Here is a 25,629-nt window from a genome sequence, read left to right as displayed (position 1 = left end):
CTAAGGAAGAACCTTAGGGAGGCTGCCTTTTTGTGTGTGGAAGTGGAGGGAATGTTTCAGGACTTTTCCCAACAAAATTCAGAAAGAAAATCTCTGAAAATTGTTTTGGTGAACCCATGACAACTATTTCACTGTACTGACAATTTAGAAAAACAAGACACACGCACACACACACACACACACATTTCCCAGAGCAAAAGTGGACATGAGAGTATCTAGAAAGAGAAAGTGATTTCTCACAACACTGCTTCCATATTGAACTCTTTAATGTCTTTTGAAAAGCAAGGTCGGCCTCAGAACCATGCAGGCCTACAAGAATTCAACCATTTGTTGGTCTTTTGTTAAGATATTGATTAGATTCTTGTTCATTTCTTTGCAAGCCTCCCAGTTTAGTCTATTGATTTGTCTAAGCTTTTTTTCTTAGAGTCTTGAACTAGGTCATCGGAATAACTCTTAACATTTAACTAGAGTCATTAAAAATAAACAGACATTTGAGAATAGTGTAATTGGTTGTGAAGGCATTTCCAAGGTGGAAAGGCCAAAGGTGGCAAGGCAAGTCCTTGTGGGCATGTTGTCTTTGAGACCTGACTTACTCTGCAGTTCTCCAAGACAACTAAAGACTTCCTATAGCTTCAGGCAATAATTTGTCCGAAGACTGTTGTAAGAGTTTGGCTAAAGAAAACCAGAAAGCCTATGAAAACATGGCTTACTAGTAACACATCCCAGCTGTTTGCTCCCTGTTAAAAAGTAGAGAATGATGTGTTCTGGAACGGCTTAAGTGCTCTGCTGTGTATGTTTTTAGAACTGTACAGAGTCTTAACAGCATGAGTCCTGTTCATTTTAATCAGAGTTGTGTGGTTTAAACTTGTCTCTGAATCCAGCTTTTTGCTATTGATATGTCATGTTTAGTGTATAGTCTCTGGAATTAGGTTATTGCCAAATTTCTATTGTGTTTTTGGTGATCATGATCCCTGTGATTTTCTTACTCATCCAACTCAAGTAGAAAGATATCTTTACATCTCCTGTTAGAGCATAGGTTCTTTGAAGACAATATATTACTCATGTTTTTCTTACCGTGAGCAATAATCCTCAAATCACTGCATGCATAAGAGCAGCAGAAGAATCACCTGGAAGGCTTGATAAATCACATATCACTGGGATGCTGCATGAGAGAGTGTGATTCTGTTGGTCTGGGGTGGAGTCCAAGAATCTGCATTTTTAACAAGCTCTCTGCTGCCAATTCTGAGACCTCATTGAAATAGCACTGCCTTGGAGCCCTGCTCCACAGCCCTATCAGGCCACTAATTATATAAGATATTTTATAACACAGCCTTTACTACTCTAAAATGAAATCCATAGATAATATAAACTACCCACATACTTATCTTTAAGTCAATATAATGGTCTAATTATATTGTAAAAATAAATTGCAAATGAAATTAAGAGGAAAATAATTTATGATAAAATAAGTATTTCAACATGTCAATGTTTGGACATAACTACATTGGAAGATATAATTAAGTTGTCATGCTTATACTCATTCATAGGATCACCTTAAATGTCAGTTACAGATGTAGATATGTTGTGTAGCTACTAAAAATAATGACTAGGGTTGCCTTCTGTGATGTGATTTTCTGAAATAGCAAAAAATTATTGAGAAATTGCCAAACAAAATAAAGAATATATTTTCTCAATGTGTCTGGTAGTTGCTATTAATACAGTGTAAAAGAGATACTTTGTATTTATATGTAAAATGAATTTAAGTTTTAGGCTTAATATATAAATATGTTTTTCACCCACATGAATGTCACATAAGACCAGGTTCATTCTTCATTGTGTGAGACTATTCCGCACATTGTAGAACATCTACAACTCTAGGTCCTACTCACTGAATACCAGTAGTGCACCTCAATCTCCAAGTTCTTCTAATGCCTAAGGATACACCTTAACTAGTATATCTTCTTTTTTTTTAAGTTCCGGTGTACATGTGAAGGATGTGCAAGTTTGTTACATAGGTAAACATGTTCCATAGTGATTTGCTGCACCTATCAACCCATCACCTAGGTATTAAGCCCAGCATTCATTAGCTTTTTCTTCTGATGCACTCCCTCCCTCCACACCCCCAAAAGGCCCCAGTGTGTGTTGTTCACCTCCCTGTGTCTATGTGCTCACATTGTTCATCTCCCACTTATCAGTGAGGACATGCTGTGTTTGGTTTTCTGTTTCTGCATTAGTTTGCTAAGGATAATGGCTTCAGCTCTGCCCATGTCCTTGCAAAACACAGGATCTCATTCCTTTTTATGGCTGCATTGTATTCCATGGAGTAAATGTACCATATTTTCTTTATCCAGTCTATCACTGATGAGCATTTGGGTTGATTTTATGTGTTTGCTATTGTGAATAGTGCTGCAATGAACATATGTGTGCATGTGTCTTTATAATGGAAAGATTTATATTCCTTTGGGTTTATACCCAGTAAGGGGAAATGTGAGAAAATCTTTGCTATCTATTCATCTGACAAAGTCTAATATTCAGAATCTACAGGAATTCAAACAAATTTACAAGAAAACCGATTAAAAAGTGGACAAAAAAACATGAACAGACACTGCTCAAAAGAAGACATTTCTGTGGCCCATAAACATATGAAAAAAAGCTCAACATCACTGATAATTAGAGAAATGCAAATCAAAACTATAATGACATATCATCTCACGCCAGTCAGAATGGCAATTATTAAAAAGTTAAGAAACAACAGATGTTGGTAAGGCTGTGGAGAAACAGGAACACTTTTATACTGTTGGTGGGAATGTAGATTAGCTGAACTAGTATATCTAACCTTGCTATCTTTAGTACCTTAAAGATAGTATTTATTTTAATTTATTATTTTAAAAATTGAAGAGAAATGCCCTCCTATGCTGAGTAGAGATTGGTTATCAGACTCTTTTTTCTTGGATGTATTTTATCAAGTCACTGTTTCTTTAAAAATAAAAACTCAACAACAATGATCAATGGTATTTTTCTTTACACTAGTTATTTTTACCTAAAATGGGTGTTGGACATCTTCATCATTGTGCCTTTGCATCATTATTTCAATCAGCTTGTAAATCAGCTGACAGCAGAGTAGCCTTTGAGTCACACTCAGCAGCTGGACTGGGAAAATGGCTTGAGTCCAATTGCATCCAGCTGTGGTCTATACCTAGGTTGTTGGTTTGCCCTGATTTGCCTTGGACAGTTCTAGTTTACACCTGTGGTTTTGCTGTAATTATAAACAATTACATTCATTCTCAAAAGTGTCTCTATTTGGATAATAAATTATATTGTCACCCCAGTTATACCTCACTAATAATACCAGGTGCTAAAGAGATTGTTTTTTTACTTTGTGTAAGATAAGAAATAAGTTTCTAAATGGAAACACCATGGCAAAATTTTCTGCAATAAATCAAGACTTGGTAATTCTTAATGTTCTGAGATTTTAATAAATTACTCTATATAGAAGCGATTTACTATAAACTGAGTAGGATAGGGTATTTTCATTACCAACCATCTTGATGTAAAACACTTATTTTTTTTACATCTTTGTGACCTTTTCTTAGTCTGACTGTGTACAGTCATATCCCAGAACATTGAATGTGTGCCATCTGCTTCCTCTGAAATTTAATGGCTAGGCTGAGGTTCACTGAGAGAAATTAAGAGGCTGTGACTTTTCTTTTGTCCAAGTCTTTGAAAGGAGCAATCCACATCCAACCTCATGTTCTTAAATCCTTTCATCTATGCACTGGATCTTGGAAGGAAACTCGGATGTTAATATGACCATTTGGTGGTTTCAGCATCAGTCTTGCTGCCCTAATCCTCTTTTCTGGAGTTAGCCTGGGAACCCACAAATCTCTAAAGTGCAGCCTTTCTCCATGCTTGCCTGGATCTTACAACCAAATTTCTGAGGCTTCTCAACTATTTCTACTAAATCTCAGCCTCTTTAGTGAATCTTCAAATACCTCTCACTTTCTCTTTCTTTCCCGTGTCTCTGATAATCGTCTTTATTCCTGTCCTTATATCCCAGGCTCTGGCAGAGTTTATTGCTTAATTCTGTGTAGTTATCTCAGTAACAATGGGCTGCCAGTTATACACATACACACACACACACACACACACACACACACACTCTCTCTCTCTCTCTCTCAAAGAGCAATAATTGCTTTAGGTTTAAATATATTTACTTAATTGTGGTCTAAAGTCAGTTTTTATTTTTCTCTTAACCTGATTTATCTCAAAGTAATTCACAGATAGATCTTAGTCTCTAAGGTAAGAATTAAATGACACAATATGTATAAAGCAACTAGCACAGTGTGTGGTACAATGTAAATATTCACCAGGACAAAAATATTATTGATAGTAGTAACAGTTTTTTCGTTTATGATAAGTGAATTTTCTAGGTCCAAATTTCAGGGCAACCCTTACTACAGCACTGGAATGAGAGAAGCATTCCATGGGATGGCTTCTTTAAAAAAATCATGTTTCCTATATAAAAGCACTAAGTCCAAAACCCCTCCAATAGCAAAACACTCCAGGTCATTGCTGTCCTATAGAAATTTCTGCAGTAATGAAACTGTTCTATATCTGGGCTCTCCAATATGGTAGCCAATGGCCACATGTGGCTATTGAACATGTTGTATGTGGCCTCTGTGGCTGAGGACCTGAATTTCTAATCTCAACCACCTTAAATTTAAATTTAATTGCATGTGATTAGCAGTTATAATATTAAAGAGCCCAGCTCTACAAAGATCATCTTGACTAATAGATGTTTATTAACAATATTGTCCCTTATTCTCTGCATACTTATTAGGTTGCATATTGCACTTTTATTATAACCATCTATTTGATTTTCCCCTTCAACGCTTCAGCACTCATTCATTTTAACCAGCTGCCTCCTGCATCAAATTCTTGGAGTAATTAGCATCTCAAAATGAAAGTTACCTTTGACCCTTCGTAACAGTTGTAAGATTATTCCCCTCTGGAGAAACTGATGACCTGTTTGCACAGCTCTTCGTTTAGTGGTTTCAATGTGAACTGTGAATGCTTGATACCTTGGCACACCAAAGGGATGCAAATACTGTGTCCAAGGGCGTCCTGCCAGGGTTGTGTGCGGGTCACCCTGACCCAGCCAGAAAGCTACAGATACCATGGCACATAACCTGGGTCCTTATTGAAGGAGTAGTTTTAAGAAATTAGCCAATCTTTTTATAATAGAGAGTTCTCACAAGGCTCAATGATAAATATTTATGCTTCTTGGGCCATCCGAATGGCAAACGACTTCCTTAACTTTGATAAATGCATTCCTCTGCTGTAATGATGAGAGTCACATGCTCTGTTGGAAAAGATCTAGCCAGCGAACAATGGATGCTAATACCAACATCCTGGAAATATTGATCCTCTTGAAGGCCCTGCCAAGGATAATAAATACCTTTTAAGTTTTGTATATTGATAGATTCTAATAAATATTTTTTTCCAAGAATCAGGAACAACATACATGTTTAAAGAACAAGATGGTCTAGTGTAGTCTTTTGTTAGAAAGTAGTATATTTGTGTTATAGATTCAAAATGATTTTTTAAAAATTTACTTGTTTCAGTAGTTATTTGTGTTTTATCTATAAGTCTCTTACATGATATATCACTGTCACAGGAAATATTTGTAATAATTACACAGGGAAAATCCACTAAATTTTCAGGTTTATTTAACTAAAAAAAAGCTGGTTGAGGACTTTAAAGAAAAGAATAAAGAAAACAAAATGCAAAATAAAAAAAAATCAGTTAAAATAAAAATAAAATACAGTACTCTTATGCCTAACCAAACATTTATAAATTGGAAAAACATTGAATTTTGTATATTCCAAGTTATTGGGCAACCAAGGTGGGAAAATGGCTTGAGACAAATATGTACTTCAGCAATTAGTAAATATTTCAGCTTCCTGGTATTTATTCCTACCTGGATGGTAAAGGAATCTGAAAGTTTGTTGTAGGTTATTAGACATACAGCAATTGTATACCAGTCACTGACATATATCCAATTATATACCCAATTAGATTGAGTACTCTAAAACTCTGAGATCACTATAGTAGATTAGATTATTACTTAGGAAATATTTACTCTCTCCTTACTTTCATTGGAAGAGCACACTGCTCACTCCATTGTTTTGGGGCTTGACTGGTGATAGCCAATGAAAAGCGATATTGTGCCAGTTCTGAGTCTAAGCTTTCTGAAGTGTCACATGTTTCCACTTATGACTCTCAACAGAAGTAAAACATGTGTCAGTTGACCACACTAAGACATATGGGAGAGACCTGCAGCCAACTTACAGACTGAAATACAACCACCCAGCTGAGCCCATACCAGCTGAGCCATATTCTACTTGCTGTTCTGTGAACATGAGAATATGTTCACTGTTTCATGTCACTGAGATTTTTCTGGTTGTTGTTTATGGTGGCAATAAGTTCCTGATACATTGGGGGTGAGTCACTTAAAATAGTATGCCTTTCTGTATCATATGCACTGCTCCAGATCTGTGCTCTTCACTTTCATCTGCTCCCCTTCACAAGTTCTACAGAGCTGCTCCTTCCAACTCCACGAATAGCCCTGCTCTGGCAGTTTCACTACCACATTGAAGGTTGTTAAAAATACAAATTCTCAGGGCTCCCCCAGACCCTGTAGGGGTGGGACTCAGGTGTCTATGTTTTTCACAAGTTCTGCAGGTAATTCAATACACACATTAGGTTGGCCACAGTTTGCCAGGACTGTTTTGATCTTAGCAGAGTCAATCCTAAGAAACTCCTTGGATGGTTGATCACTCTGTGAAAACCCATGCAGTAGCTTACTGTATTAGTCCATTTTCATGCTGTTGATAAAGACTTACCTGAGACTGGGCAATTTACAAAAGAAAGAGGTTTATTGGACTTACAGTTCCATGTGGCCAGAAAGACCTCACAAACTTTGCAGAAGGTGAAAGTCATGTCTCACATGGCAGCAGACAAGAGAAGAGCTGTGCAGGGAAACTCTCCTTTTTAAAACCATCAGATCTTGTGAGATTTATTCACTATCACAAGAACAGCATGAGAAAGACCCTGCCACCCCATGATTCAATTACCTCCCACTGGGTCCCTCCTACAACACATGTAAATTTAAGATGATATTTGGGTGGGGACACAGCCAAACCGTATCATTCTGCCCCAGGACTGTCCCAAATCTCATGTCCTCACATTTCAAATCCAATCATGTCTTTCCAACAGTCCCCCAAAATCTTAACTAATTTCAGGATTAACTCAAAAGTCCAGAGTCCAAAGTCTCATTTGAGACAAGGCAAGTTCTTTCTGCCTATGAGCCTATAAAATCAAAAGGAAGTGGTTACTTCCTAGATACAATGGGGGTACAGGCATTGGGCAAACACAGCCATTCCAAAGGGAGAAATTGGCCAAAACAAAGGGGCTACAGGCCTCATGCAAGTCTGAAATCCAGTGGGGCAGTCAAGTGTTAAAGCTCCAAAATGGTCTCCATTGACTCCATGTCTCGCATCCAGGTCATGCTGATGTAAGAGGTGGGTTCCCATGGTCTTGAGCTGTGCCCCTGTGGCTTTGCAGGGTACAGTCTCCCTCCTGGCTGCTTTCACTGGCTGGCATTGACTGTCTGTGGCTTTTCCAGGTGCACAGTGCAAGCTCTCACTGGATCTACCATTCTGAGGTCTAGAGGACAGTGGCCCTCCTCTCACAGCTCCACTAGGCAGTGCCCCAGTAGGGACTCTGCGTGAGGGTTCCAAACCCACGTTTTTCTTCTGCACTTCCCTAGCAGAGGTTCTCCATGGAGGCCCCGCCCCTGCAGCAAACTTCTGTGTGGGCATCCAGGCATTTCCATACATCTTCTGAAATCTAGGTGGAGGTTCCCAAATCTCAATTCTTGACTTCTGTGCACCTGCAGGCTCAATGCCACATGGAAGTTGCCAATGCTTGGGGCTTCCACCCTCTGAAGCAACAGGCCAAGCTGTACCTTGGCCTCTTTTAGTCATGGCTGGAGCGGCTGCGACATAGGGCACCAAGTCCCTAGACTGCACCCAGCAAAGGGACCTTGGGCCCAGCCCATGAAACCATTTTTTCCTCCAGGCCTGCGATGGGAGGGGTTGCTGCAAATGTCTCTGACATGCCCTGGAGACATTTTCCCCATTGTCTTGGTGATTAACATTCGGCTCCTTGTTACTTATGCAAATTTCTGCAGCCTGCTTGAATTTCTCCCCAGAAAATGGTATTTTCTTTTCCATTGTATTGCCAGGGTGCAAATTTTTTAACTTTTATGATCTGTTTCCCTTTTAAAACTGAATGCCTTTAACAGCACCCAAGTCACATCTTGAATGGTTTCCTGCTTAGAAATTTCTTCCATCAGATACCCTAAATCATCTCTCTCAAGTTCAATGTTCCACAAATCTCTAGGGCAGAGCAAAATGCCCCCAGTCTCTTTGCTGAAACATAGCAAGAGTCACCTTTGCTCTGGTTCCCAACAAGTTCTTCATCTCCATCTGAGACCATCTTAGCCTGGATTTCATTGTCCATGTAACTATTAGCCTTTTGGGCAAAGCCATTAAACAAGTGTCTAGAAAGTTCCAAACTTTCTCACATTTTCCTGTCTTCTACTGAGCCCTCCAGACTCTTCCCACCTCTGCCTGTTACCCAGTTCCAAAGTCGCTTCTATATTTTTGGGTATCTACAGTAGTGCCCTACTCTGCTGGTGCAAACTTACTGTATTAGTCCATTTTCATGCTGCTAATAAAGACATACCCAAGACAGGGCAATTTATGAAAGAAAGAGGTTTACTGGACTTAGAGTTCCACATGGCTGGGGAGGCCTCACAATCATGGCAGAAGGTGAAAGTCATGTCTCACATGGTGGCAGACAAGAGAAGAGCTTGTGCAGGGAAACTCCCCTTTTTAAAAACCATCAAATCACATGAGACTTATTCACTATCATGAGAACAGCATGAGAAAGACCAGTCCTCATGATTCAACTACCTCTCACTGGGTCGCTCTCACAACATGTGGAAATACAAGATGATATTTGGGTGGAGACACAGTCAAACCATATCACCTACAATGGTAGGACTTCTGCAGTCCTAGGAAGACACAGCTTTCCCAAAAACTTTATTCTGAAAATTGAAGTTGATATGTCTTGCCTTTGGCTATGACCAGACAGAAATTTCTCTCACTAAGTTGTATATCTTTACAGGAAGAGAAGATGTTGAGTGTTCCCAAGTGGTGTGTATTGTTTCATGATAAAAGCAGCCTTCTTAGATAGAAGGTAGCAAGGATTTGTAAGTTTCTAATAGAAGCTGTATGTGTACAGTATAAGTAGATGAGATTTTGAGATTCTTGCCTATGAGCCAGTCTTTGCACTGAGCATTAGAACAGGGGCTAGAGACAGTTTGGGGTCAGACAAACGTAATGAAGAGAAAACACTAAATACATATGTTTAATACTTAACAATTTCCCTACTCCAGCTCTTACTTTCCTACATACCTTTCTCCTTCTTCAGAAGCAAAATGTGGTCCCTTTGTTCCAATTTACTTAAGAAGCCGTAGAATTAACTTACGTTCTACTGCACATTGGGTATGTAATTCCCTATGTAGGTGAAGCTGCAGTACATTGTGATTTCAGGGTTCTTTCTTTTAGTTAACCTCTCTTACCCACAGTTGAAGCCCATCAGACTGTGAGGCCCATAGCAACCCAACCAGCTTTGAGTAGAATCCATCTAAAAGTTCACCTAGTGCCCTGAAGTTCTGCATATGTGCAAGACCCGCAGGAAGGCCAGGATCAAAGGGACCTGAGAGAGCCTCCACAGAGCTGCAGGAACATCGTGTAATTTACCCAAACCATCTGCAAGTGACATAAATGCCAGCCACTTAGAACACCTGCACCAGATGACTCAGCATCAAGCTGGGAAGCCAGTATGGGGTTGAAATAAAAGAAAACAAAAACTTCAGTGACTGGAGCAAAACAAATCATCACATTTTGGCACCAGCTGTACTGGAACAAAAAAGGAAAGAAACAAAATGATTTAGCAAATTTTAGTCCACTTCCAATCAGAGGGATCTGCCAGCTGGAAGTGTCAAAGTTTGCATTAGCGGGTGTGAATAAGGGAAAGGGTTAAAAGAAAAAGAAAAACTGTAAGAAAGATTAAAGCCAAGAAACCTCCAATAGTAGTTTCAGGATACCAGATAAAGAACAGCTGCTTAAGACACAATACGTTGATTATGACCTAGAAGGAATGGAGAAAGAGGGGCCCTTTGACAGTTAAGAGCAAGGGAGCAGGTGTGGACGTTACATGTGCCACGCCATAGTCAGCAAGCCCAGGAGGTTCTGTTGGGTTCTTCCTCTCAGCTATGAAGGAAGCCGTTTATTTAGACACAATCCTTCAAAAACTATCAGAAAGTCCCTCTGCAAACCCTGCCACCACAAAGAAGGCCTTCCATGCAATTTCAAGACATGAATATACCTTCAATAGGAAAAGAAAAACATGATTGCCTGTAAGCTATTCTAATGAGGCCGTTTCTGGAATTTCAATTACCCTGAGATGCCTCCTGTTTATGGCATTGACCTTGTATTTTCTTTGGTAGACAGGAGGGATGTGATGAATGGAGGGCACACCGCTTTGTGCCTCATCCACCAGATGAATGGCCACAGATATTCTTGGCATCTGAAGTGGCCCAGGTGGTCCCTCTGGCCTGATTTCCTTGGCCAGTTTTCCTTTCTCATCTGGGAATTTTGACCCTCCTGCTTTCCAACTAATTGTATCATATTATCTCCTTTTTGTTTAAGACTATTCTCTCAGCAAAAAGTTGCAAAAACTCAGATTTTTAGGATAGAAAGTCTCAATTAACCTCTGACCTTGCTTCAGTGCCTGCAGCCCGGGTTATTCCTTACACCTAATTGTGGGCCCATTAACAGGTTGTCTAAAAACAAAACAACACACACACACACAAAAACTGTTTTGACCAGGCTGTAATTGCTGCTAAGTGACACTTAACAATGGCTCTCTTGTACTATTGCTAACTGGACAGTGTGGGCTACTCTGACCAAGCCTAGACAGTGAAATTTACTTGTGATAAGGGCCTCCCTGTATCTCTTTAAGTGCTTTGTCCAGCAACTCCCTTGATTGAAGGGTGGTCATTTTTTGGATTGCCAGAACTGACAACGTGGCACAAAGCATGAAAGACAACTCCCACGGAGGACTACGAAGGCCTTCCTCCCCTCCTGCTGCAAATATAATTAGTTTATGTTAGCTGAAAAAGGTCAGAGGTTGTCAAAGGGTAGCAAAGTCTTTGTTTTTAGGCAAGATAGTGGAATAATTGCTTGATGCTCAGATCTGCAGGTGCTGTAAGGAGCTCATTTGGGCTTGGCAGCCTGCAGGGAAAGCTGATTTCCTCTGGAAAACCATGGAATTCCTCATGACAGAATCTATTTGCTGTGACAGTAGTGATTATGCATTCATGGCCTCAGCACAATACCTGCCACACTCTGCCCTCACCTTACCCCATTTTCACACACTCCAGGCATTGAGCCCCTTTCTTCTCTTTCTTTATGAGAACAGCGGAGGCATGAGCAGACAGACCAACCTGGTTGATTTCATGTGAGGGAATGTCTAGGGTGTCTTAGGAAGTGAAGAGAGAAAAATTTCATGGAGCAATTTATTCGAGATAAAGGAGAAATAAAAAAAATGAAAAGGAGAAAAAGATACATTGCCATGAAAAACAGAGTTAAATGTCACAGTAGGTTTTAAGTGAAAGAATAAAGAGTGAGGAATGAGGAAATTCTTTAAAAAGTGGGTTTGCTTCAAATATGCCCCATCTTTCCCCATGCTAATCACCTTCGTTTTGTTTTGCTTACCTGTCTCAAGACATAGGAGCACATTGCAATGAGATCCCCAATTAAAACGGATTGCAATATCTTTAAAAACCAAGGTAAGCTCTCTGCACTTATTCTGCAATGCACTCACTTTGGCTGAGGTGAAGTCCTTTTCCAGTTAGTCTGTGGATGTTTTACGTATATGACAAGGTCATGCATCCAGCCATCTGTTGAGAAAGCAAAGGAAAGTGATTCTAGAGCCAGATAAACCAGATACTCTTGTACTTGCTGGTTGTGTGAACTTGAGCAAGGCATTCAACTTCTTTATTATACAGTTGAATTTGAAGAAGTTCAACTGTGGAATGAGAATAATAATGCCTTATTATGTTTCTTGCCCAATTGATCTAAGGTTCAAATATTGCATCTCAAATTTCCCATTTTACCACCCAGTTTACATGGGATCAATCTAATGTGGGTTATGGATTTAGTGTTTTTCAAATCCTTGTTGCTGATGGCTGGGGCCAAGGTCACTTCCCTGATGGGAAACCTAAGCCCTGGGGGCTCTCATTAAACCCTAGACTGTGAAATTGAAAGGTTGGATTTGATAACTATCGTGCCCTTGAACAGTCCACATGACAAGATTTGCACTGTTGCTTTCTACTTTTCAGCTCTGTACTTTTACCTGGAATCTCTGTAAAGGTCCTCCAATTATTTGCAAACTGACATTTCTTTGGCCTCTGCATAAATTATTCAGAAAGTAGAATTTGGATTAATGTAGAATTTTAAACACGTATAAATGAGATGAGATCAATACCGAGGGCAGCACTCAAATTACCCATATCTTGACCAGTAAAATGGCTCACGTGACTAACTTAGACAGGCTTTTAGCTTTGTGGTGGCATTTATGAAAATAGAGAACACAGTTTCCTTTGATGTTTTAGGAAGCCATGCCTTTAATGTGTTTTGACACCTGTTTTTAGGGGTGTGCTCAAGTAATGTGCTGAAGAAATATTGGCTATAGAGAACAAGTCAGAAATCTAATTAACTGTGATGAAAAGGGTTTTTAGACCTTTTTTTCTGAACAAGTCAAATTCTTTTAATCTAAAGAAAAGCTTTTCAAAAAGAAAAGAAGGACGGAAGGAAATAGGAAGAAACATGAAAATAAGAAATAAAAAGAAGGAAGAAATTGATGGGTTATACCCAGTTGCCAAAAGAATCAATGTTAACATACCAGGACTCTAGAAAAGGGCCATGTGTATTTATGACTGAACAGATTTATAAAAGTAAATCAATGGACAAATAATCAAAACTATTGATCAGGGTCTATTTTCTACCCTGTTTCTACCAGATTTTTCAGGGTTACAAAACAAATATTCTTTATTAATAACTCATTTTCTGATGAGACAGTCAGTTATGAAACAACACCCGACAATGGAGATAAAAAAGTTAAAATGATGGAAGCAAACAGTGAGTGCCTTAACGTTTTGGACGGGAGAGAAGGCTGGAATAACTGCATATACAGTCATGGACACCTGACCTGAGCCTCAAGGGAAGGCTAGCATGTAGAATCCTAATAGGCAGGAAATCATAGAAAGAGAATGAGCAAGGGCCAGGAGGGGAGGAAGAACATGTGGTGGTAGATGAGCTGCATCAATGGCCCCACTCTCCTCCTCTCTCTTTGCCCCATAATGTGCAGCGCCCTCCCACTCTGGACAGCATTTTGTTCTATCCCCTGATTCTTGTTTTGCCCAATTATGAACAAATATGGTGTCAACAGAGTCTGGAAACTCCTGAAAAGTCCTTGAATGTGTCTTTTTTCTAATTTACTCTTCTAACTTTGGCATGAGAAAATGCTCAGTGGATGGGACAAGTAAGGCAGAGAAGAATTGTCCAAGTTTTCCAGCGGAGGTCCTAGACAAGCTGACAGAGTATCCCAGACATAGGAGACCCTAGCTAAGATCAGCAGAGCCCCCTAGCTCATCTGCAGCAGACTGCAGGTGCAGGAAGGGCCCACTCAAGACTTTAAGAGTCTCCCAGACAACCTGCAAATACATGATATGTTTAAGGCAATAAATGTCAGGGTGGTTTGTAATGAAACATCATTATGTCAACAAGTAACTGGTACATATGTCATGCATTCATTAATGTAGGATTCAATTTGGGGACAAATTTCTCCATTCTTTTTGTTGTAGATGTTTGGAAATCATCTTTTACAGAGGAGGAGCCTTCAGTGTGAGGAGAAAATAGTCATGGTTGTTCACACAAGAGTAAACAGAATTGATAAAAATATCATGAGTTCATTTACATCCAAGAGTGTCCCTGAAATAGCTAGAAGCTGAGGCAAATTGTTGTACGCACTTGAGTTATTCCAACTAAGTGCTTCAAGTAATCACATTTTAGGAAATTAACTAAGATATTTGAAGCATTAAATATTTGCTTTTTGCCATTGCACATTTTTATTTTGAAAGGCAGCCATACTTGTAAATCTTTTTATTGTGAGATATATAGCATTCATATATAACATATATATGTGATTTTTGAAAAAATAATAAAACATATCAACCAGATTACGGAAGATTACCAATGACTTTGAAGATTATCCCTCAATTATCCTCCCCACATGTAACACCATCAGCCGTTGTCTCTCCCCAGAGATCACCACTAACTTGTGTTTTGCATTCATCCACATTTTCTTTAAGACTATATGCTTATGACTCTCAAATTCTAAGACCAACGATGTTATCTTTCTCTCATATCTGCAATGCCATATTTCTAACTACATACAACTCCATATATATAGATGTCATGCTCAGTACCCTGCTGCTACTTCAGAAATAACATGTCTAAAAACAGACTTACCACTGCCCCCAAAGCACCAGCTTCCTTTCCGAAACATTTTAGGTCTGCCAAAGTCCACACCTTGTCCTAGAAGTCCATGCTGAAGGGGTCATGAGGTTGGACAAGGGAGGAGGCATGGAGAGGCTGGCACAAATCCTGCACTCATGCAGGAAAACACTTTGAGTCACTTATGGCCAACGGGTCAGTGGCAGCATGTTGGAATCATAAAGCTGATGCAGAAATAAAAAATTACAGGCAGTCCCCATATTTTCCCACTCATCATCTTACTAAATACTTTAATTTTTACTTATTCACCTGTTTATTTCATGAGTTCTATGAATATCTGCTTTGATTATTTCTATAAATATTGTACAGTTTCTATGAATAGTCAATATAATATCAGAAATTAAGATTTTTCACTTACAGCATAGTTCACAGTCTTTAAGACTATATATAATAAGAAAATATCTATTTGGAGAATACAAGAGTTTTAAATGACTATGGGCATTTTGGCCCTTAAATATGCATCCATCTATTCATGCAGTCAACAAATATTTGTATGTCTGTGCTCTATGCAAAGCAATATTGATAAAGTGGAAATACAAATAAAAAATACTGGCATTGCTTCAGGAAGGTCTGATAAGGAAGAGAAGTTTGCACACAGAAAAGCTCAACACAAGTAGGGACAAGATAATTTTCATATTATCAGGTTAGTTCTTATGCTCAGAAGCAAGTGAACTTGCTTTGGGTGATGGTAGCCAGAGAAGATTTGTGACTAAAATGAAATTTGACCTAAAATTGTTCCAAAGGTATAGATACAAATATAGAAAAGAAACACTCAAATTTTTAAAATGTATTTAAGGAAAGGCAAAAGTGTACAATTTATTCATTTTTCTATTCTAAAAATATCAATTGGGTGACAGAATGTTAATGATAAGAGAATACACCACTGCTTTCATATAGTTTATATTCTAAGAGATAAAAAATAACCAAACAAAATAATCTGAGAAAATGTTTTCTCAGAAAGTAACGAAATATGATGGCTTGATAGACTTCATCTTGAGGAGGGAGATGACAGTTGAAATAGAACAGTCAAGAAAGGCTATTTGAACAGATCACATTTAGACAGAAGCTAAATGATGAGAAACTGCTTTGTATAATTATAATGGAAAACATGCACCAACTTGTAGAGGATGTGAGGTTTCCACATAAAAGGACAGAAGAATACAATTACAAATTTTATTTAGGGGTCATATTATAGATAATAGTCAGGGTAACAATGCTGCTAGCAATAATATAGTGTCACCAAGTGCTATTTAGCACATTTTCAAATGCCTGTGTTAATTTGGCTAACTAGTTCATTCTCCTATTTGCTTGAGATTTTCTATTTTGAAATATCTTGTTTGCCTATATGAAGCCTATTTATTTTATAAATGTACAGAGTAGTATTTAGCAATGTAAACTCACTTATCTGGTTCTTGGTGATGAAGCAAGGTGCATCTAAGTTTGTAAAAGTGGTATATCTACTATAGCTTTTTATTTGTATTTATATTTTGAGTTGTTTCAGAACCCAAAGAGAAATTTCCTAAACCATAAGACGGGAAGATTAGTGATGGAAATAGAAATCAGAGAAGTATAATTGACCTAGGCATGACTACCTCCAGGGGTATAAACGGAAGGTACCAGAGCTCAGTCTCTTGTCATCTTTCAGCTCAGCGCTCATCTGCATTGACTTAGCTTTTGGAGAGAATTTCCCTATGTATTGACTGTGAGCTTCTTGTCTGGTAGCTTAAGAACTTTCATTTTCCAACAGTTTCTAGAGTTTTCCTGGATTGGATTTCAATTGACTGACAAAAGTCTTATGTCCATCATTGAATAACTCATTGTGTCCAAGGTAATAAAATACATTGCTGGGGCTAAGAATACAGAAGAGACATTTTGCATAAGAAAATCAAGATTCACTTGTACGATTTTGGTGAAATCTATTCTGAGTAGGTACACATAACAGCTATTGACTACAGCAATGGTTCTCAAACTGTTTTTCCTATACCAGGAGTGTCAGCATCATCTGTTGGAAATGAAAATTCTTGCTCTACCCTAGAAGCACTCAGTCAGAAACTCCAGTGATGGACCCAATAACTTAGGTCTTAGCAAGTCACTCATGTAATTCTAATCCACACAAAACTTTGAGAATCATTGTTTTACACCATCGTACTTAGAACAAAATACATAGCCCTTTCCATGATCTATAAAGGCATATATGAAATGGTCCTCTTCTACCTCTCAGACCTCATCCTGTATAATTTCCATCTTTCTCACTTTATCTTCTTTTTATTACTCAACATTCTCAGTAGCTGTCATCTCACAGCATTTGTGTGTGCTGTTCCCTCTGTCTAAAATGTTCTTCAGGTGGCTTGCTGTTCTCCTAACTATGGTATCCCTTCAAAAGCCATCTCTCAGAAGCCTGACTACACCAACATATCCCTCTCTTAGCCCATACACCTCTATTACATCTTATTACTTCTATTTTATATCATAATTTAATATTAGCTTATTCATTGGTATATGTATTCATTTAGACAAATATTAATATAGATAATTGATTTTTGGTTTCTCTCTTCAATATTCCTAGAATGTCACCACTGTGTGAGCAGGAGTACAGAGTTGGCATTTGACTGTAACAGCCTTAGTACTTAAAACCATTCCTGCGTAGAGAAGGTGCTCACTAAATATTTATAGGATGATTCACTAAATAATTCATTGAATGTACTATGGTGGTTCCTGCTGCTCCACCATCTCCACCAGTCATCAAACGAGGTAACAGAAAAGCTGAGTTATTAAGGATGGTAGGGGGCAGGATGTCCCAGAGAAAAGAAAGTGCTAAAACCACAAGCACAGTGTCTAGTGATTCAAATTGATGGGCCTCAATTTATCAAAAACCACACAAAAACTATCCTGGCTTTCCAGCCATGAAGACCACATCCTTTCAAAAGACTGTGCTAAAAGATAAAAGGGAGGAATTATCCCTTTCAGAAAATAAGGTAGAATGTTTAACTGAAGGTTTTCCTTCATTTTCAGTGCATTTTCATAGATTATAGGATACCACTAGCTTGGGAGAGAAGGATGGCAGGATAACTTATTTTAAACAATGTAAAAACTGAGGAATTTGATCCAAGATTCAAGTCAGAAGAATACTATACAAGGAAGTAACTAAAATGGAAGCTTAGGGATGTCGATAAATATTCCTATGTGGGTGAGAATAAATAGATTTCCAAATAAATGTTTGAAAATAACAAATTGTCTTAAAATAGTCTTCAAAATTAATTTATGCTAAGAACGCACAAATATTATGATGACCCTTTCAACTGTGGCATGTGCCTGTGTGTGGTTTCCTAGAAATAGTTTCAGCAGTCCTGGAAGAGTGACACAAGGTATCACTTGGCATCCAAAATTTACTTCACCATCCATTTGTCCTTGTAGATATTCCCACATTTTCGATATTACAGAAACCTAGGTGGTCAGTCATTGTTCTTAATTGTTTCAAATACATGTCACAACTCATTCTTGACTAACTCTTGAAGTGGAGTAAATGGATGAATAAAAATTCATCAACAAGCTTAAACCTTCCTTTCTCCATTAGTTTCAACATCCTCTTCAGAAAAATAATTTAGAAGTTTAATATACAAGTTGTCAAACTGAATTCCATAAACTTCAGCTTGGTGCATCCCTTTGGCTTAGTGAAAAAGCATCTATGATAACATTTTTAATTTGTTAGCACAGTAGATTTGGAGGATAAAACCTTATGAGACAGAAAGTTATGCTCTCTCATTTTATCTGCTTTATAGAAAGGAAACTGAGTTTATGCAACATCCAAACTTGTTTGAAGTTAGTAGCTAGGCTGTGACTAGAACCCAGGTGCCCTGCCCCATGTTTTACTGTCATTATTACAGAAAAGATTTATAAGCCACAAATTAGACAAAACTAAACAAAAACAACAAAACAAATCAACAAAAACCAACATTAAATGACAGTGGATTAACAGGAAACCAGGCAAAGCGAAGTTAGCCAATTTCAACCTGAGTTTAACTTACAACACAACAGGAAGGTAGAAAGTGTGGGCTCCAGATGAAGACAGCCAACATTTCAATTCTGGCTCAACCACCTGGACAGTTTTTCATCTCTGTGTGCCTCAGTTTCCTCATCTGGAAAATGGATTAATATTAATACCAACTTTACAGGCTTGTTATGAGGAAGTAATGACATAAGTGTTGAGAAAAAGAGCCCTGAACAAAGAAAGTGCACCAAAAGCATTTTGTTATTCGCTAAGTTTAGTGTAAAATTCCTATTTTACCAGTTGAGAATGAGAATTATTGAACAGAATGTTTTAATCATTTAGGTTTTCTCTTTTCTTTAGAGAGAGAGAGGGTCTCACCCTGTCATGCAGACTGAAGTGCAGTGGCATGATCATGGTTGATTGCAGCCTTGACTTCTGGGCTCAAGTGATCCTCCCACCTCAGCCTCCTGAGTAGTTGGGTCTGCAGGCATGTGCCACCATACCTAGACTTTTTTTTAGAGAAATAGGGATCTTCTATGTTGCCCAGGCTGGTCTCCAACTCCTGGGCTCAAATGATCTTCCAGCCATGGCCTCCCAAAATGCTGGGATTACAGGTGTGAACTGCCTCTTCAAGCCCAATAATTTAGTTTTAATCTTCACCAAGGACAGAAATAAATACCAAAGAAGCTATCCAACAGGTGATAGAATGTCCATCTGTTGCCCTAACCTGGAATTATAGCCATAAAATTTCAGTCTTCTACTGACTACAAGCAATGTTGCACCTTCAGTGATTTCATGGGAAGAAACCTTGCAGTTAAGAATCAGATAGGCTTGGATTTTCCAAATGAACAATATCAAAATGTAAATAGTCAAAATAATAAGGACATGAAATTCTGCTTATAACTAAAGAGGCTACAAACTTATGTGCATTCAAAGAAGTGTCTCTCTTCTTTGTAACATATCTTGCCGTTTCTTTCTGTCACACTTAAGAACTCACCCACTATTTCCATTTTTTGTGTGTGCGTATTACTGATTATTTTAAAAGGAATGCCAGGTACACATGTGGGAGATCTTTCTTATAATAAAATTGGATTGGAAAAGGCAAAACTATGAATGTTTAGCAAAAACAAACTTTGAAAGGAAACTCAACTTTTTTATTAATGTTTCCTTGGGCATTTTTCTAAAATCAGCCTTGTCTCTGCGTAATATTTTTCTTGGTTGGGTAGAGGCTGGTTAACATATTCATTATTTTTTTAATGTACTATGCTGCTATTTGCAGCTTCAGGTAGTTAATATTTGTGTTTAAGCTTTGCCGTTCAAATGGGAAAATCCACCCTAAACAGCATTGCTGAACAGCATGAAGGAATCCTTCGAAACAGGAGGTCCCCTTCCTGAATACCAATCAGTGTGGCTTTCCTCTGTGGCTGAGAGAGGAAGCACTGACCAATGTTTGCACTCCACCATGTCCTGCGTGTCACAAGCTTAATTTCTAACACTGGCCGCCTTGTCGGCAGAATTTCTGGATGGTAGAATGAATTGAACCTCTGAAGACGGACGGCGCTACTGTGTCTCTGGATGACGTCAACGTCTTCTGGGACAACAGCATGAAAAAGCGAAATATAATCAGAAGGAGCCTGGCTCAAGATTACCTCAGAGAGTGTGGGTGTGTAAATATGATAGGTCAGCCCTACAAGAAAAATCATTAATGTTTGCTAACATGCAAGGCTTGAGTTAATGGGCAAGTATGAGTAGAAGACAGCAAAAGAACTTTGAATAATAACTAAATAGGTTTTATTGACACCTCCAACTTCACATAAGCAAATTTAGATTCCAAAGATCATTTCCTAGCATCTACTGTATACCAAGTCCATATCTCCTAGGTTGTTTAATACTGAGAATGGATAGAAATTAATCAGGAGAATAGGAAGAGAAAAACTCAGCATCATAAATACTTTTTTTTGGTATACTTTTCCAAGATACAACAATTTATTCATTTTTTCCCAAATGTATGAATTAAGCATTTACAATGCCCCTACCAGGACAGACATGATCATGAGCCAGACAAAACTGGGACGTGAATTCAAGTTTTGTGCAATATCACATACTGTTTAATTTTTACTTCAATTAGTTCCTTCAATTATATTCTAGACACATTAATGTAATAAGTTATAATTCCTAACACTCATGTTATATTTAAAAGGATAAATATATGCCATATTTAGTTTCATGTTTTTTCTTATATGTTTTCTCTTTTTTTCTCTCATATGAAAAAGAAAGTAAATAACAATGTTATCCCTGTGTAATCTCCATGTGCAACCTCTCATTCTCTCCACAATTTTTTATTATTTTCCTTCAAGGACTCTGAGTTCACCAAGTGTGAGAATGGTTTCTGTCCTTCCCAGGAGAGAAAAGATGTAGTAAATTAAAAGATGAAAAATATAAGCTCAGTATCATAATGCTTGATGTGTGAGGAGGAGTAACTAGGAGTTTAGCAGATAAATGTGGGGAAAGTGAACAGGACAGAGATGGAGTTACTGTCAGGAGTCATTGGCCTCTTGCCAGTGAACCACTGAGATGACAGAGAGGAAGGGTGAATGTTGCTCTGTTGCCTTCTCCTACCATTTTGTTCCTTAACACATTTCCTTTCCCAACTTTGTCATTCTCTGTCCTATTCTGGAACATCTGTACTCAGTTTGGCTAGGCAACTTTATACAACATGGCATCGCTACTCATTCCAAAACTGTATGTATTCTCAACAAAGAAAAGTTGTAGCTTCCTCCATCTTGCCTTTCTTACAACCCAGAGTTTGTTGGTTGTTTGTTTGTATAATAGCCCATATGTTTCAAGGTTGAGAGAAAATCTTGATGGCATCTTTGCTTCCCTTCGCTGCATCTAGTTCATTAACCCTTCTCCCCAATAACAACAGCTATATCAATCAGACCATAAAATGCAGCTCTTGCATCCTGTGTTGTTTGGTTATATTATATTTCCCTTTCCCCACACTTATCTGCTGAACTCCTGGTTACTGCCTCTCGCACATCCAGCACTAGACTTAGATTTTTCATCGTTTCATTTATTACCAAAATGACTCAACACTCTCCTCTTCCCTGACTGCATTTCCTTTGCCTTCCCCTTTTACTAGCTTTACCTCAGCTCCCTACTCAAAACTGCCACTTCTTAGACCTTGTTATCTCATAAAATTGTTCTATCTGAAAACTTCAAGCACCCTCTTCCTGACTTCAACCCCCTCTTTTTCAATATTATGTTTTAAACTATTTTCACTATGAGTAACTTTTGGCTTCACAAGCCCCGCTTTTTCCATTCTCCCACAACTTCACTTGACTCATTAGCCAGTGGATACTTTAAAATGGCTTTACATCAATAACAGCCTTACTTATATCTAACATGGTCTTGCTTATCTGTCTTTCTGCACTTTCTTCATACATTCTAGCAATTCCCACATATAGTTTAAAACATCTTTTTGGTGTTCTACTTAAGCAATCAAATGTTGCTGGAGAAATCCACACAATAGAGCTGTTGGATTCCACTATCCAATGAAGTTAAATTATTGCGAATGTGCTCTTAATACTATTGGTGACTTGTAGATTGATTGCATTAAGGGTCTCAATTCCGTGTCCTTCGCTGTATTCATGTCCCCTTGCCACGTGACTTTGTTGTTTCTCCCACTGCAGAGAAGAATCTCCTTCCCCATTCTTTGATCCTGAATATGGGTATGTGATTTGGTTTGGCCAATAGAATTAGAATATTAGTAAATATAATGCATACATATGCTTGAAAATATGCTTGCACCTTCCCACTTCTGCTATTGCATCTCTGCCTTGACCATGACAACTTCTTGGACTGGCCTGCTAGAGATGAAAGGAGTCATTTATCTCAGGTAACCCAATGAAGCCAGCCTATTTCAGTGACAGCCAACCAGCCTCAAAATATGTGATAAATCTCAGACAACTCCAGAAGCATTATGAAGCTAATTCACAGAAACACAAATTAAAGAAAAGCCTAGTGTTTTGAGTCACTCACTTTGGGTTGGTTTGTTATGCAGCACTGCTGTAGCAATAGGCAGCTAATACAAAACTCCTGCCTGATTTCTCTGTTTTACTTCTGCTCTAATTCCCAATGCAATTTAATATTTTCACCCTCAAAAAATAGCCAAATGCTTTAGAGAGATAATGGAGGCCATATAATGCTAACTCCCTCAACTCACTTCTGTGAATTTGGCAAACTTTTCAGCATCCATCCACATTACCCTCTCCTTTGTCTCTCAAATGTCAGTAGAGAGCTAACTTTTGCTGTCCATGGAACCTACGCTTTAGGTCCAATTTCTTCTTACCATGATCCTTTCTATTTCATGTGTGTTCAGCCTTTCCTTTTTAACATGATATATTTTCCCCTCAACTGATTTCTACCTGGCCCTTAGCCCCTTCCTTCTATGTAAAAGAGTTACCTTGGGTTGCCAGTGACCCCTAGATTAAACGTTTTTCAATTCTCATTTTATTTTACCTGTAAGAATTACTTCGCACTATAGACTACTTGCTGATGCTTAAAATGCTCTTTTCTCTTTGTTTCCATGTCACAAGACTGTTTTGGTTTTCCCCCTACATCTTCGTTTACTTCTATTTTATCTTCACTTCAAATTTAATCTCATTAGTTGGCCAAGAAATGTTATTTCGCAAGGTTTGTTCCTACGCCCTCTTCTTATACTCTACAGTTAAGCAAAAAGATCCCATCTGGGCCAATGGCTTCAATTGTCACCTCACTACAGACGACTCATGAATTAGTGTCTCTATCACAGACTGCCTGTGAGCCCCAAACCCATCCATTCATCTGCCTCTTTGATATCACCGTTTGGATATCACTAAAGCACCTCATATTTAGTAGTTTCAAAATAAAGTTAATTGTCCTCCTCTCCAACAAATTGACTCTACCCTCAGTGTTTTCTATTGCAGGGAATGACACTATCATCTATATGCTACAAAACCCAAAAATCTAGGAGTTATCCTTTATAACCTTCTATCAAATACAGCCAGCTGCATGCCCTGTGGATTTTATCTTTTCACATTACTCAAAGCTGACTATTCTCTCTCACTTTAAGGCCATTAACTTATTGCAGGCTAATGTCATTTTTTTTTAAGTTTACTGCCTTACAGTAACCTCACTGCCACCACAGTACACTTGAAATTTCCAAAAATTGCCCTCCTTTTTTTTCCTCTCTTACAAACACACATAGAGACATACACAAACTGGCATACTTAAAACATATCTAAGTCTTCATTTCACATGGGATAAAGACCAAAACTCTTATGATGACCTGCATGATTGGTCACTTCCAATTTTTACAGCCTAATTTCACACATGTATGCCCCTCTCTGCTGCTTTGCCACTCTGACAATTTCTTCAGTCTCTTGAACTTCCCATGCACCCTTTTGTCATAAGCCAGGTCTTCTGATGATTTCATCAGCTACATTCCCCAGGCACTTGCTCTGTCTCTGGGCAGAGGCATCGCCTCTTACATACCACAGAACCTTCTAGAAGTTGACCACTGATCTGAACTATTCTATGCTTCCTGGTGCAGCAACTTCTTCCCATCATATGCCTTACCTCCTCCAGTTCTCTTAGTTTCTTAGTTTCTATACACAGCCAGAGTGTACCATTAAAATATTTGGCACATATTTAAAATCATGAAATATTTTAACTTGTCTCTATTTTTATTTATAAGCCCCTGGATCATTCCTACAGAAATGAACACATAGGACTTTCAAAGAAACCCTTCACACAATCTTTTCTTTTAGTCTTGATACATTCTACAGTGTCAGGGGCTGTATCTATCTTGATCACTGATGCCTTCTCAGCCCCTAGAGCAGTGCCTGGTAGAGTAAGGACAAGTAAACATTTGTTGAATGAAAAAGAAAAGAAAGGATGAGGGAGAAAAGAAGAGAGGAAAGAAGGAAAAAAGAAACTCACATAGAATAAATACAATATTGTGATTTCAGGCTCCAGAATTCAATGCTCAATAAACATGAATTAATTCTGCCCATTCGGTTTATAATTACCAAAATAATCTATCCATAAAGAGGAGTGAAATCTGCCTGACCTATACACCCAGCCCTTCTTATTGTGATGTCTATTATTTCATTTAAGAAGAGTATAGATGTATGTTTCATTTAAGAAGAGTGTAGATGCATGTTTTTGATGTAGCACTGGCAAGACAGAGTCTGAACTGGCCTCATAAATCTCCAGGAAACGAGGGTGGGTACAAACCTTCAAAGACTGTCTTGGGCTGTGCAGCATGTCCCAACAGCTCCCATCCAGTGCCGCAGCCACTTTGGAATGTAGCTGACCTCATGGAAATGGTTCTGTACCTACATGCTGAGAGTTTCTCCCTTGACCTTTCACTTTCCCTCTCTTTTGATCACTCATGTCACCTTTACATTTTGGCATGCAGTATATTTCTGTGTCTTGGCCTGATTCAACAAATATCTAATTTGTTGCCATGGTTGTGTTTTGGTTGTAGTTCATTGTCAACATTCTGAGAGGTGAGGTCGAGAAATCCCGACAAGTTCTTTTGCTCTTCCTTGGTCATGAGATTTTGTGTTTTTGTTGTTCTCTACAGAGTGATGATTTCCAATTAATGCTTCTGACATAATCCAGTTCAACAATTCAACAGATATATACTTTGGTGGGAATGAGAGAGAAGAAATTCTGCCAGCTACATCAGAAGCTAAGTCAGAGCTCTGAGAAGAAGGTCTAGAGAAAGAGAAAGGGGCATACCAGAAAGGCAAGGGGATTGTTTACACCATATTACTCCAGTTCAGAGGTCATCTGTCCCAGGCTTGGCTCAATCAAATA

General features: G+C 38.4%; 1 long non-coding RNA gene and 1 other non-coding gene across 2 annotated transcripts; both read right to left on the bottom strand.

Annotated features, from left to right (window-relative positions):
• Nucleotides 1-1,025: 1,025 nt before the first annotated feature.
• On the bottom strand, nt 1,026-1,110 carry MIR8062 (microRNA 8062). The gene has a single exon (NR_107029.1). It is a non-coding gene; the product is annotated as a microRNA 8062 (primary transcript).
• A 3,106-nt stretch (nt 1,111-4,216) lies between these two features.
• LINC01706 (long intergenic non-protein coding RNA 1706) lies at nt 4,217-25,285 on the bottom strand. Its single transcript, NR_110610.1, has 3 exons — nt 25,042-25,285; nt 11,913-12,097; nt 4,217-5,438 (listed from the first exon to the last, which is right to left on the bottom strand). It is a non-coding gene; the product is annotated as a long intergenic non-protein coding RNA 1706 (long non-coding RNA).
• Between the last annotated feature and the right edge of the window lie 344 nt (nt 25,286-25,629).

This window comes from Homo sapiens, chromosome 20 (assembly GCF_000001405.40).
Source record: "Homo sapiens chromosome 20, GRCh38.p14 Primary Assembly".
NCBI lineage: Eukaryota > Metazoa > Chordata > Mammalia > Primates > Hominidae > Homo > Homo sapiens.
Note: the sequence above shows the minus strand (reverse complement) of the source record. Positions and strands in the feature narration are given on the sequence as shown.